Source organism: Homo sapiens, chromosome 10 (assembly GCF_000001405.40).
Source record: "Homo sapiens chromosome 10, GRCh38.p14 Primary Assembly".
In the NCBI taxonomy this organism is placed as follows: domain Eukaryota; kingdom Metazoa; phylum Chordata; class Mammalia; order Primates; family Hominidae; genus Homo; species Homo sapiens.
In genome coordinates, this window is record NC_000010.11 from 85,417,419 (window position 1) to 85,432,789 (window position 15,371).

General features: G+C 42.7%; 1 long non-coding RNA gene across 1 annotated transcript; it reads right to left on the reverse strand.

Moving 5' to 3' along the window:
* Positions 1–14,524: 14,524 nt before the first annotated feature.
* On the reverse strand, positions 14,525–15,354 carry LINC02647 (long intergenic non-protein coding RNA 2647). The gene is made up of 2 exons (NR_120669.1): positions 14,985–15,354; positions 14,525–14,814 (listed from the first exon to the last, which is right to left on the reverse strand). It is a non-coding gene; the product is annotated as a long intergenic non-protein coding RNA 2647 (long non-coding RNA).
* Between the last annotated feature and the right edge of the window lie 17 nt (positions 15,355–15,371).

The window sequence follows — 15,371 nt, forward strand, 5'->3', positions numbered from 1 at the left end:
GTGGAAGTCGGTGTGGCAATTCCTCAGGGATCTAGAACTAGAAATACCATTTGACCCAGCCATCCCATTACTGGATATATACCCAAAGGACTATAAATCATGCTGCTATAAAGACACATGCACACGTATGTTTATTGTGGCACTATTCACAATAGCAAAGACTTGGAACCAACCCAAATGTCCAACAATGATAGACTGGATTAAGAAAATGTGGCACATATACACCATGGAATACTATGCAGCCATAAAAAATGATGAGTTCATGTCCTTTGTAGGGACATGGATGAAGCTGGAAGCCATCATTCTCAGCAAACCATCGCAAGGACAAAAAACCAAACACCGCATGTTCTCACTCATAGGTGGGAATTGAACAATGAGAACACATGGACATAGGAAGGGGAACATCACATACCGGGGACTGTTGTAGGGTGGGGGGAGGGGGGAGGGAATAGCATTAAGAGATATACCTAATACTAAATGATGAGCTAATGGGTGCAGCACACCAACACGGCACATGTATACATACGTAACAAACCTGCACGTTGTGCACATGTTCCCTAAAACTTAAAGTATCATAATAATAATAAAAGTGGGTAAATACTTGCCTTAAATCATCAACAAGTGAGAAAACAATGGAAAGCAACATAGCTAGAAATGTAGAGAGCATGATACCCACTAAAAAATTATTATCATCATTATTATGCCAGCTTCAGATTACTAAAGTTTTGCACTGTGAAAAACCAAACTTAAAGATTTCTGAGTTCAGTCTCTGTGATGTAGCAAGGAGGAAAGTGGAGCAGAGGAATTTAGTATCAGAAAAATAAACTTTGGAGTCAGATGGGTTCAAATCATGATCTATTAGCTGTGTCATACTCTAATATTACTACAGTTAGTATCAGTTGCCTCACTTGTTTAAGAAAAATAGTTCTTTTCTCATGATGATGAAACAAAAAGAACTGGAGTAATCACATCTCTTGTTGTGCACCCTGATTTTTCTTGTCCATGTAGTTTAGATTGGACTATATCCAGCCTATCCACGGGGAATGGTCAGATGGACCATGCCTAAACCAATCACTGCTCTTCATGGCTTTGGCCATGATTATTGGATCAGGTGTGGGTGGATAACCCAACTTGATTCAACAACAACCCAAATGCTCAGTGATAAAGAGGCCCTCTCATCTTCTTTCTGTTGCTTCTGGAGGAAGGTACTCTGTAAGCTTGAAACTGCAACTACCATCTCATCATCTCAATTGAAGAGCCTGCCTGACATGGAGGCAATGGGAGCAGTCAGGGAAGCAGAGCTGGGAGATTCCGGGGTATTTCTTCCAAATGACCCATTTGAGCCCCTGGATCCAGCCATTCATTCTAAGAGTCAGCTCTTCACTAGTGTTTTCAGTTACATGAACCAATAAATTGCTTCCCATTTTTAAAAAGATATTTTGAGTTGCATTTCTTTTATTTGCAACAACAAAAAAGGAACAATTAACAGAGTAATTGGACTCAAGAGTGGGCTAGTAAAAGTTACAAACCCTAATAAGGAGAATGAATTTATCACTGGAAGTCCATAGGGACCCCTCCGTTCATGGCTGGGAATTTATCCTTTCATATCACACATGTAAGTGAATCACATAAGTTCATTTATACTCTGGGACTGGGACTATGCACCTACAGAGGCTAGAGTGTTAAGTGACTCTGTGAGGAATAAAACAAAAGAAAACTGCAAATGCTATCTTCTGGCTCTGTCTGCCAGTCTTCAATAAGGTTACATTGTTTTAAATCCCCTTAGTGCAGAACCAAAATGGAAGCCATTAAGGTCAGTTTTGAGAACACTGAAGCCTAAAGCTTCGAGAACAGAAAATCCTGGTGAAAGCTTTATATCCATGTAGTTATGTGAAAGAGAAGAACTAAAAGTGGCAGGTACAAGTCTGTGGTTCAATTCTCAGTTTCTAAGAGGATGCACTGCCTCCATGCCCCCCTGGTCCTGGGGGTCCCCCAACTTTACCTTGCATAGCCATTTGGTGCTTGCAGGAAAGCCTTCTTCTAAATCCCAGTAACAAAAGTTTTGTCTTCATTATTACTGCCCTTACCAGGTCCTGGAAGACAGGTACAGATCATTCTGTGGTCCACTTTGAACACGATGAAAACAGGACAAGAGAAGTGCAAGGAACCTATTTCCCCTCGGGAATTCAGTCAGGAGCCCACAGAAGAACTATGCCTAAGGGGGTATGCAATACCCACATGTGCCCCAGACATTCATGCTGAATCACAAATGAGTTTGCAATGAAGATACTTAAAATAAGTTCCCTGTAGCATCCAATGAGAGGAGGAAACAAAACTGTATAGTAAAAAGCAGCATAATTTCATGCTCAATTACGGCCAACCTTGAGAACAAAGCAGATTAAATGTTCTAATCCAACAAAGGAGATTTTTCAAAAGAACTTTAATAGTGAAACACGATGACTGACATCTCTCATACTTTTACCTTCAAAAATTTGCTTTCATTGGAAAGTTGACTGGCAGGATAATCAAGAACTAGTTAGAATCACTAACCATTGCCCATATGATGTGGGAGTCCCTTCACCGTCCCCACCAGAATTGCTTGTTCTCTTATGGTGGTATATTATAATACAAGTCATATCACAGAATTGAATGTGCACTTTACTTCTGCCCAACCCCAGGGAATGGTCAGCAGAAAGGATTAAGAGTTATGTTAAGGGGCTTAGCGCTGGTCCTTTGGAGGTGTGAGCATAGCTTGTTTAGCTTTTTCAGAGAGCTGAGGGAGAGAAAACACAGAGAAAAACACAGAGCTGAGGGAGAGAAACACAGAGAAAATTCTGCAGTTCTCTTCTTATCTCCTTGCTCTAGGGGTCCCACTTCCCATCATGCTGTGTGTCTTCCCCTGTGGTGGTGTACAAGATCAAGCAACTTCGTTTTTCCAGAACTATTATACTGCACCTTTGTTTTCAATTTATTCCTTTTTGTGAAAATCTGACTTTAATAATACAGGCTTTCAGTGCTGAAAGGATCCAGGAAAATCACTTGATACCAATGCACCTTCTTTTGCACTGTTGTTCAGCTTTGGAGGGCTGAACCAGCTTTGTGCAAGGCTGCAGAGCTGGGCCTGGAGTCCAGGTACTTTGTGAAATCAGCTCACTGTAATTTGCGCCCTGCCTCTGTGACCCTCTGTGACCTCCTGCTGCAACTGTCTTTAATAATCATGCTGAGGTGTCCCTTAACACTAGAAAAGGGGCATGCTGCTTTCCCACCAGGAAGTGTCCACTCATGCTCTCAAGGCAAGGAGGCGCCCAGGCTTCCAACCTGTGCTGAGGACTCTGGATCAAGAGAGGGGACCGGAACCAGGCCCACTCAATTCATGTAGCTGCTGCTTAGGGGAGCAGTCTGTGTAGGTCTGCATGGAGAAGAGTCAACCCCAGACCCCTGTCCTGAAGGGCTCATCAAATAAGGGAATCTTGTTTGCTGGGAGTCTTTCCAGAGAAATCCGACAGAGGTCAGTGGATCCTTTGACGCTTCCCATTGACTTTCCTCAGTGAAGCGAAGGAGATGGATCAACAGTGGGCGGGGAGATGCTTCCAGGCCTGTAGAACCTGATATTCAGCCCAGCCAGCCACCGGGAGACCCCTTTGGTTACCATGGAAACAGCTGCAGGAAGCCAAAGAGTAGATGGAATCCTTTAACTCAGTTTAAATGCAAATTCTGTGGGTAATTAAGTGGCAAACCACACTAAGAACATTATGGGAGATATACAGTCACTGGAAAGGTAATAAATGCCTGCCTTGAAATGGATATAATAAAAAATTTGACAGTTTGTCTCAGCAAGAAATTTTGTCTTTAAAACACCTCAACCTTTTCTACTTCCCCCTCCAGTTTTTGAAATTGTCATCTAGGTTTTAGAAAAAAAATACTAAAAATTCAGGCCTGCAATGCTTTTAAAACTCTCCTCATTAGCAGGTGTCTCCTATCTCCTCCACAGCTCTCACTGGAACTTTTCATGAGCTGGAGTTCCATGGACATTTCAGCTTCAATTTTCATGTTGTTTTTGAGGAATCAATTGGTTTGAATGGGAAAATGTTCTCTTCCGTTCGTCCTTCCTCAGACTTGTGCCTTAGGGTGAGCATGCACATGGAATCCTCAATTAATAGGCTCGGGGGGGTGCTCAGCCTTGTTCTTGAGAAACCCCACCTCCACCCCCAAACCGCCCTAACTCGCCTCCACAGGCCTCCGGTACTTTCCCAAGTAATTGAAAGTTTCCCCTCAATAAGCCCAAGCAGGAGCAGAAGAAAGAGTCTAATCAGGGTATATTCTGGCTGGGAATTAAAACTTCCACGATGTGCGCCCCTCCAGATGAACGGTCTGAATTAGGTCTGAAATGGCAGCAGGCTAGGCCTATGTGGCTGTACTTGAAAAAGTGGGCAGCTCCTTAACTAGAGTTTCATTGCTTTTTTACTGCTTTTTGACGCCTATGCACCTAATGAGGGGCTCTTCTCTCTGAGTGGCAGGGACTGTGATTGTGAGAGCACAGATTTCTGCAGAGTGGATCCCGCCCCCACACGCCTCAACTCCACAGCGCTCTACAGGTGTGATCCTTGCTGCCCCTTAGGCCTTTCCCAAGGAAGACCATGGCCTGACTGTGCCTTTTTTACATTATTAAGCCCACATTTTTTTTTAAACCAAGCTCTGCTTTCTGAGCTAAAATCCCACATTTTAAATTTCATATATTGAAGCAGGCCGCTTTAGAGCAGTCATAGAGTCCAGCTGAAAAGGTTGGGTTTTTAAAGGTGAATAAAATGATGGCGATGGAGAGAAGAGATTTTTTTTTAACTCCCTCCTTAGAAATCTCATTGCTTCTCTCTGCATAATTAAAATTTAAAAGGAGTCATAGGAGCTAAGAACTAGATGGGCTATTAGAATTTATCTAGCTGTGGTTTCTTAATTTAGGGCCCATATATTAGTGTCAAGATAATCATAAACACCTTGAAAAGTAGGATGCTGCCTGTTGCTGACATCAGGAGCTAAAATGGATCCATAACATTAAAAAATAAAAAGATGAGGAACTACTGCTCTATTATGACATCTAGTGCAAACAGGTGGTCCCCATTTATGAACTGTTGGATGAATGAATAACTAAAACTGTGTGATTAAGACTTCACTAATTCTCCTCCTATGCCTCTACATGTTCTGCTTCTACTTTTTCCTCTAGCGCCATCTCCTCCATCTATTTTTCTATTGGGCAGATTAACACATTCATTAACGAAAAGAGTGGGGGAAAGGCAAAATGGCAAATAAACAGAACTGGAAATAGGGATGTTGTTTCGGCATGTCATGTATGTCCTATAAACATACTCTCATCCACAGGGCATCTGACCCACTGTAGCTGGGAGAGTCCATGCAATCAAGGATGAAAGATTGTTGGTACAATCCTCAGGGCTGACCTCAGCAGAGATGTTTCCTGGCTGGGTGCGGTGGCTCACACCTGTAATCCCAGCACTTTGGGAGGCCAAGGTGGGTGAATCACCAGGTCAAGAGATCGAGACCATCCTGGCCAACATGGTGAAACCCCATCTTTACTAAAAATGCAAAAATTATCTGGGCATGGTGGTGCACACCTGCAGTCCCAACTACTTGGGAGGCTGAGGCAGGAAAATACCTTGAACCTGGGAGGTAGATGTTGCAGTGAGCCGAGATCACACCACTGCACTCCAGCCTGGCAACAGAGCAAGACTCCATCTCAAAAAAAAAAAAAAAAAAGATGTTTCCTTCCCCATAATTACCAAATGACGGCTTGAAATCATAGATGTCCCAATGTTAATGCATCTTAAAACCATCTAGGAAAAAAAAAACGGTTCTGGATAAGTAAATAAAATAGAAGTTAATGAAAACTGGCACCTTGTGTGGAGACTTCACGACAAGGGCTACATCCTAAAGCCCACCTGACCCTCTATAGCTTAGCATGCAGATGAGGATGGGATAGCCAAGGGAGAAGCTACGGTTTGCAGGTGAAAGCTCTTACTCCTGGGACCCCAAATAACTCATAAAATCCTCATGAAGAAAGACTGACCCAAAACTAGGTAAAGGAAATGGAGAGCAGCTCTGGGAATGACATTCTACCACCCTCGCAGGTGAGAGATAAATTGACCTTTGAGAGATGAGTGTTTCCAGTTACAGTGGATCAGAAACCAATGAAACTCCCAACCTTTATTTAGGCATAGATTCCCCCAATTTTACTTCTGCTTTGGTTTTGTCAACTGTCAGATGAGGATACTGTTATTTTATTTGTTGGTTTGTTTTGTGGACCAGATAAAATAACGCAGGGAGAGGGCCTTGAGTCTAGCACTTAATGGGTGCTAAATACTCACTAGAGAGCAGTCCACCTCATTCTTTGCCTGGTTGTCCCGAAATAACGCCCCCAAACATCATCAGAAACCATGTTTGGGATGGATTGTTTTTAGACTAGGCAGACCCTCTGGTGGCTCCAATTATATTAAGAGGATTTTATTTTTATGACACAAATTAATTTTCAATTGCCTCTACTTGTAGATAAACTAGTAAAAATAATTCTGAAGAGATGGCAGAATCAGATGAATAACAAGGAATCTATTCCCCTTAATGCTTATCATTATTACTATTAAATCATCCAACTCAAGGAGTTCCTAACAGCAGCAGCAGCAATGAAAGGGAACAACCAGGGCTCCCAGGAATGGAAGTCCCACAGCATTTTTTCCTTTCTGCCACACCACTCCCAGCACACTAGGGAGCTGTTTCTGTATTCGGCCATGGCTCTTGTTTGATAGCAGTGATATGCTCCCTCGCCTGTTATGTGCTATAGCCAAGGATGCAGGAGACCATCTAAGAGGACCAAGGCCCCTGGGGCAGGTTTCAGGAGCAGCTCACCATACTCATTCCCCTATGATCTAAGTAGAGGTCCTTGGTGCAACCGGACAGACATCTCTGTGTCTCTCTCCTCAAGTCTCCCAGAGCCTTTCTTTCCAGTCCCCGTCCCAGGTAGTATCTACACTTAAACAGATGAACAAAAAGGACCTAAGCCTCTACCTGTTCTGCTTCTATTCAGGGTGGGGTGTAGGAGAAAGAGAAAAATGGGACCTCCTCATAGACTTTTCCTTTAGGACTAGATCCATGTCGGCTGGGCACGAACTTTAGATGTACCTCTTTAAGATAACTAGAAAAAAGTGATGATCAGCATATCGGAAAGTACAAAATCCTGTTGCTTATTAGCAAAATGTGAAAGCACAGACGCCACAGCCAATCAAATAAAAATGATGTTGGAATAAGTAAAATGCGACTCTTCAGAGAATCAAACTGGTGACATAAAAGATAAACTTAAAGAAAACAGTCTACAGACAGCCCCCTACATCACCCTAAATCCCCCTATCTTCTCTGGTCCCCTGCATGGTGGACAAGCCACTGTGAAAGCCCTATTGTTCTGGGGATTCACATGGGTCTTCTTTTGTTTTGTTTGAGATGAAGTCTTGCTCTATTGCCCAGGCTGGAGTGCAGTGGAACAATCTTGGCTCACTGCACCCTCCACCTCCCAGGTAAAAGCAATTCTCCCTGCTTCCGCCTCCTGAGTAGCTGGGATTACAGGCACCTGCCACCATGCCCAGCTAATTTTTGTATTTTTTAGTAGAAACGGGGTTTCACCATGTTGGTCAGGCTGGTCTTGAACTCCTGACCTCAGGTGATCCACCTGCCTCAGCCTCCCAAAGTGTTGAGATTACAGGTGTGAGCCACCATGCCCAGCTGCATGTATCTTTTTACTATTGATATCCTGAATGGCCAACAATATACCTTATCTTTCAATCTCCAGTGTCTGGAAGTGTCTCTAGTGGGTAGGGATGTTTGGGGACTGTTTATTGAATGAGTTAAAAAATTCCCAAATAAAATAAATGAGTGGATTAGGAAATGAATGGCAAGACGGAACATAGAGAATCAGACCCTGATGGTCAGTATCCCCAAAGATGGACATTAATAATTACAGATCTAATGGAAGAAAACTTGGAAGAACTGAAAAAAAATATTAAAGGGATCTGAGATAAGAAATTGAGTGGGATCATCACATGTTCAACAGAGTTAATAATAAGAACATATGCCAAGGCATATCCTAGAGGGAGGGAGAGGAGCTTTCAATTTCAAAGATAAAACTCCTTCAAGCTTTTAAGTCAAAAAGCCAAAAAGAAAAAATATATATCTTACATGCTATCCTTTAAAAAGATTCTTTGACTTACAAGAATAAAACCCTGAGTGTTCCTGATTCAAAATAGAAGAAAATGGAGCAGCTCATGTTACAGACAGGGAAGATTTTAAGAAGAGATTGTCTTTGTTTTGGCATCAACTATTATCACTGGGAGGATCAGTACTCCCCTATAGAACAGTGTCTTCAAAGGCTCCAGCAAACATGGCTGAGGACCACTTTTCATAGCCTCTGTGGGAGAATGTGGTTCCCAAGGCACCTTGTCACACCTCTAGAACTCTGGGGTCCCATTAAATCACCAACTGTCCCATAGAGTACAGGATCCACAGCTGTACTGAAAATAGTTAACACTGTAGGTCTAAACTGCTATCTTTGGAAAGGCAAGGTAAGTCCCCGGCTAGTGTCTAGGAACTTAGAGTTCAGAGGGTTCCCATCACTCCTTGATAAGAGTGGCTCACTACACCTAAGCTGTTTTTTTCAAACAATGTCATTTATGCTGAACACTTGCTTTACTTCTGAAGTCTGGAGTTTTGGTGCATTCTAGGTAGAGGCTGCCTACATGACTGGCTCCCAGTAAAAGCCCTGGGTGCTCAGTCTCTAATGAGCTTTCCTAACGGCCAACATCACTTACCTGTTACTGGAGGAATTGAGTACATCCTGCATGATTCCAATGAGGGAAGATTATTGAAGGTTGAACTTCATCCCATGTGCTTTTCCCATTTGCTGACTTTGTTTTGTATCCTTTGATTGTAATAAATTATAGCTATGAATACCACTATATGTTTAATCACTGTATCACACAGATTATTCTAACTGTCATCATCCAGGCAAATATAATAACCTTTTAGAGTAATTGTCTCTATGGAATTCTACAGGCAGACAAGCTGGAGACCAGTGTGGTAAAAAATGGAGGAACGAGGAGAAGACCATCTCTGGGTCCCAAGACTATCATGTCTATCTTTGGCAAGAGAAAGGCCTGGAGATGATTCTGGAAAGCTTCATTGACATGTCAAATAGATGCTCAATATTCTTCTTGAGCACCCCACTGTCCTGCCAGGTCCTTGCCCATTCCTGCTGGGATGATAAAGAGCTTTATAGACCCTATAAAACACAGACATTTTTTTCCAGCTGTGCCATCTGGTTGTTTTTCTTTTTACAAACAGTCAGCAGAAAGACTCATCTGTTGAGACATAGATGTAGCAGTGTATGTGTGTTTGTGTGTGGGTGTGCATGCTCATCTCTTTATGCATTGGGCAGAGAAGTCTAATTATTGCTATGGCAGAGGAATGCATGGTGAAAGCATTCTGAAACATATGGGAAAGATTAAGACTCAGATGTTCCCCAAAGTGCATGTACACCAGCATCAGAAGCCCATCAGCCTCAGCCTTCTGCTGCCCCACCACCTCTGCTCTGACCTCCCTAAGGGGCTAGCTTTGCTCTTGTTCTGAAAGCAAATCAAGGGCAGCCCCGAGATTACCGGTAGTAGAACACACTGCACCCATGCCTTTGCAAGTCAAAGCTGGGTGCTCTGCTGATGAGAAAAGCTGTTGCCATTGGGATGGTGAAAAACATCGTGCCCGACTCTTGCAATCAACTGGCCATTATAATTTCATACTCTATGAGCACTTCTGCTGCCAATATCTGCCTATCAATGGGAACTGAGGCAACAGTTTTTTCTTAGAAATCTAATATTACAGATTCAAGAGGCTATCTTGTCTATCGCTCTGGGTTTGCGTATATATCTGAAGTATCTCTGAAATATCCAAAATATTTATCTGGATATAGAATAGATACTCAATAATGGTAACTGCTTTTCTGTTGGTCTCCAAGGAAGGCAGTTATTCTTCTACAATCATTCAATTGATATCAAGTATTATTGAACTTTCACTGCATATACAGATACTCTACTGGTCATCATTAGATAGTTCTCCAAAGAACAGAGATTCAGAGAGTCTTGTAAAGATTACAGCAATTAAGTGGAAAGATCATGGTTTGCTCCTTGGGCCACTGGACTGCAAACCTCTTTTCTTTCCCCTAGATTAGGATTTCTCCACTTCAGCACCGTTGACATTGTGGGCCAGATAATTCTTTGTGGCAAGCCCTGTCCTGTGCATTGTAGGATGTTTAGTGTTATCCCTGGCTGATACCAGTTGCAGCCGTCTAGTTATGGAACCCAAAGAGATCCCTAGACATCCTCAAATATCCTCAGGAAGGGGTGGAAAATCTCCTACCCTCCCACCTTCTGTTGAGAAACACTGCCCTGTAGCAAGCTGCCTGTGAAGCTTTGCTACTCAAAGTGTGGTTTGCTTCTCAAAGTATGCTACTCAAAGTGACCAGAAGCTTCAGCATCAGCATCACCCAAAACCTTGTTAAAAACAAATGCAGAATCTCACACCTCTTCTCAGGCCTACTGAGTCAGAACTGACATTTAAACAGGAGCTTCAAGGTGATCCATATGCATATTCAAGTTTGCAAAATACTGTTCCCTGGTATCTTGTGGTCACAGTTGTTCCTCACAGATTTTCCCAGACAAATTCAGGTTCTGAAAGTGAGAGGTCTAGCAAACTGCTCATGAAGTGAATCACATTCTTTCAATTACATTGTTCACTAGATTTTTGTTGAAATATTATAAATTTTTTTTATTTTACTTTAAGTTCTGGGATACATGTGCAGAATGTTCAGCTTTGTTACATAGGTATATATGTGCCACGGTGGTTTGCTGTACCTATCAACCCGTCTTCTAGGTTTTAAGCCCTGTGACCACTACGTATTTGTCCTAATGCTGTCTTTCCCCTTGCCCCCGGCCCCCAACAGGCCCCAGTGTGTGATGTTCCCCTCCTTGTGTCCATGTTCCATGTGTTCTCATTGTTCAACTCCCACTGCCACGGTATTTTCTTAAAAGCTAACTCCTGGGATAGGACCACCACTAGGATCCTAGGCTTTTTTTTTTTTTTTTTTTTTTTTTCGGAGACAAAGTCTTGCTTTGTTGCCCAGGCTGGAGTACAGTGGCGCGATCTCAGCTCACTGCAAGCTCCGCCTCCCAGGTTCACGCCCTTCTCCTGCCTCAGCCTCCCGAGTAGCTGGGACTACAGGCACCTGCCACCACGCCCGGCTAATTTTTTGTATTTTTAGTAGAGACGGGGTTTCACCGTGTTAGCCAGGATGGTCTCAATCTCCTGACCTCATGATCCGCCCACCTCGGCCTCCCAAAGTGCTGGGATTACAGGCATGAGCCACCGCGCCCAGCCGGGTCCTAGGCTTTAATTTGTGCATCCATTCATTCATTCATTGATTCTTGCTGAGGAAGTGCATTGTGCAGAGCACTGGGGATAAGGGATGCACGGAGCCTGGGTTGCCAACTGGAAGCCCATTCTGCAACTGCACTTTCTATGAGAGCCCGCATGGATCTCAGCTTCTGGACACAGATGCATCTGCTGTTCTCTGAGCTCAGCTAATGTTCACAGTCCATGCACTTCTGAGAACACAAACTGAACTCACTGTACCCGCATAGAATCAGCAGTGTAGGACCCCGCCACTGCATGGGAAGGGGATCTTGACTTTCAAGCTTTCTGTTGATTTATTTGAAATGTTTGATGAGGGCCAGCCAATAGCCTTAAGGTGAATGACTGTCTGATTCACAATGAGGAATGCTGAGTTAATCATACAGTGCTCTAGAAAAAGAGTAGTGGGGAGGGTTTGAGTTTGGAAATCAGGGTTATTCCCTTTTCCCTATCAGCAATTTCACAGAAGTTGTTTAAGCATGTCAGTTAAACGTTGGAATGTTTTTCAAATGAAACCTACAATAAGGAGGGGAGAACTGTGCCCTTAGCATCATAAGGCCAGGGTTGAAAAGAATTATGAACAAAGACTAGAGTAGATGGTATTTAAAATTCAATTAATTCTCATAAAAATGAATATTTTCATGCACAGCCCACTTTGAAAGTTCTCCCACTCCCTATCACCACCACCAATTTACCTGTCTGGAGATCATTCAAAGCCAACAGAACTGAGACCAGAGCCCATTCTCTCCTGGCCACCAGCAGAAACCGAGTAGAGAATAAACTCTCAGGCTATGAACCTTATAAGAGGACCTGAGAACTGGACTGAACTCTTCTCATGAAGTGGGAGGTATATGGCTTCCCAGGGCACTAGGAGGCAGGATCACCACACAGGGAGGGCTTAAAGGAAGAGGAACACAGAAAGAGAGAAGAAAATGAAAAGATTCATAGAAGTAGGGGGCAGAGTCCCAGGAGGATGGTGGTGAAGTGTTTTGCACCTTAGGAAGTTCAAGAGAAAGAGAGACCAGGGAGCCGTGAGCCTTCTACTCACACGCACAGACAGAATACTCACCCTGTATGGCTTTGAACACAGTTCTCTTCCCATATTTTCAGTCAAGACTGGTCTGACTTCCCTTGTGGATTAAGTATGTTTTCACTTCAAGATAGGTGGGAGAGTGGGAGAGGTATTTCTTTTTCTTTTTCTTTTTTTTTGAGATGGAGTCTCACTGTGATGCCCCAGCTGGAGTGCAGTGGTACAATCTCAGCTCACTGCAACCTCCACCTCCCGGATTCAAGTGATTCTCCTGCCCTAGCCTCTAGAGTAGCTGGGACTACAAGCACGCACCACCATGCTCAGCTAATTTTTGTATTTTTGGTAGGGACAGGGTTTCACCATATTGGTCAGGCTGGTCTTGAACTCCTGACTTCAAGTCATCTGCCCACCTCAGCCTCCCAAAGTGTTAGGATTACAGGCGTGAGCCCCTGCGCCTGGCTGGGAAAGGTATTTCTTAGAATGGCAGAAGAACAAGTCCATCCCACGATCATCCAATATATTGGATGATATCATACTCAGGAACCAATATGCATGGTGAGCTTTGATTTTATATATAAATCTAATTTTATATATTTATATATGAGTATACATATAAATATGTATATACTCAAAATGAATCTGTATTGTGTAACAAAATCTAATAAATAGAGAAGACATTTAAAATTAATTGCTGGACTCCCAAGTTAAAATTCCATTAAAAGTATCAATAATGTATCAATTTTTCAATTGCTGATTTAGACTGGTAAACATTTCATTGTCTTTCCTCAAAATTCAGGAAGAAGAAATGATGTTGTAATTTTCTTCATAAAACACAATATAATCTGTGCACATGCAATTTAGCAGACCAAATTTTATGAAAATTGATGACGATTAGCCAAGGACATTCTATCAGTGAAAAACAACAACAACAACAAAAAGATTGACTACCTGCATGCCAGGTTCTATAGTTAGCATTAAGAATGCAAATGTGAGAAAAGTTACAGCCCCATCTGGAGGGGGCATGATATTATGGGAAAGATTACAATGGGACGTGTCCATTCTGACACGTGTTCTGTACTCTCACAGAGGTTCAAGAGGTGTCACTGGCACCAGAAGCCCTCCATCCTCAACCCCACATGTTGGTGGTAAGGGCCCTGGAGAGTCTTTGGTCATGCAGAGATGATACAGACCAGTTTTATTTGTTTTGGTTCTCTCTGTTTGTTTGAACTTCACAGTACTCACTGTTATCATGGGAGCAGAGTGAGTCATGGCTCAAGTTTAGCTCAGAGTGGTACATTTTAGCCAAGCTTGTGTGTGTGTGATATATGTGTGTATATACATATTTACTAATATATAGTTTATATATGGGTGTATATATACTTTGTGTATATATGTATATTTACATATATGTACATATATAATACACATGTATTCATCTATATATTCATCCCATGATATATGTGTATATATATGTATAAAATCACACACCCATCATGAGATGTAGATATTAAAATAATGCAAGAATATACATATATATGTATAAATGTATGAGTAAATACACACACACACACTCTCACACATATGTACATCCCCTTCCCCTTCCAGTTGTACAATTCCCTCCTGATTGAGATTTCTACTATTATTTTAATACCCACACGCCATGGTGGGTCACTGGGGCATCATCCAGATGGGCAGTAGAGGTGAGCCTGAAACGTAAACTTTACCCCACCATTTGACAAGTTGTCTGTGCTCAGAACCTCATCTGGGATCTAATTTGCTAAACTGAAGGCCTTAGGCATTTTTGTAATGCAGCATATGGCCAAAAGAAATCAGGTTCTTTTTTTTTTTTTTTCAGTTGAATAAGGCTAAGAAGAGGAACTCACCCAAATTGAACATCAGTACATGAGAGGAGGATAAAAAAAATCCAAAGCTGTGCTTGCAACCTAGGCACAGAGAGGTGTAGACAAAGCCTCTGACACAAGGCGCTCTGATGACCACCAGGGGCATTCTTTAATGCGCAGGCAAATGAAGAATGATGCAGGGCTGTGCCAGAGCCTCATCAAAGGCAGAGGTATGCCAGGCACTGAGCTTCAGCACAGAGACTAGCAGAGCTTCCCTACATCTCTCTGGAGCCCTCTCAGCATGGAAACATTGCAATGGGATGAGAGGAAAGAATGTAATTGTACCTCAAAAGAGGTGACAGTTACAGGTAGGGGCTGTGATCCCTGGAACAGATTGCCCAATAAAAGCAAAGGCAGATTTCAAGTTGTCTGATCCTGAAAATTAGAAAAGTACATGACTTAGCTGATATCACTCTTTTTTCTCCCATTCACCTCTGGTGGCCTCAGAAAGCCCATAACCTCTAATGTAGTTTTCTTTTCCAAAATTTCTCCAGTTTCACCCCGACCTTCTTCCACACCACCCTTCCTACTAGCTCCTGGCTCACCTAGTGCAGTACGAGTAGTGCTGGAATCATCCTCTCCACATTGGGGTCAGTCTTTCAATCATCTTCCTTAGAATTGTCCCTTTTATCTGTTCCTTCTGCCCCAAACCCTGGTAACATTGCCCGATAACTGAAGTTCCCATGCAACTTTTGAGTTTTGTCCATGACTAGTGGGCATAGAAGGAGATTTTCTATTTGGTGGCCAAGTTTGCTGACAAGATCAGCTGCCTTTAGCATTTGTACGGGACTTTAATGAGTAAGGAGGGATGTGTTGTGTGGAGAAAGGAAGAAGGGCTTCCAGGCAGAGGAAGCAGTGTGCACAAAGGCACAGAGATACAGAGAGGGCACCAGGGATGGAGGCAGCATGAGTAACACTGAGGAGACAGAGCA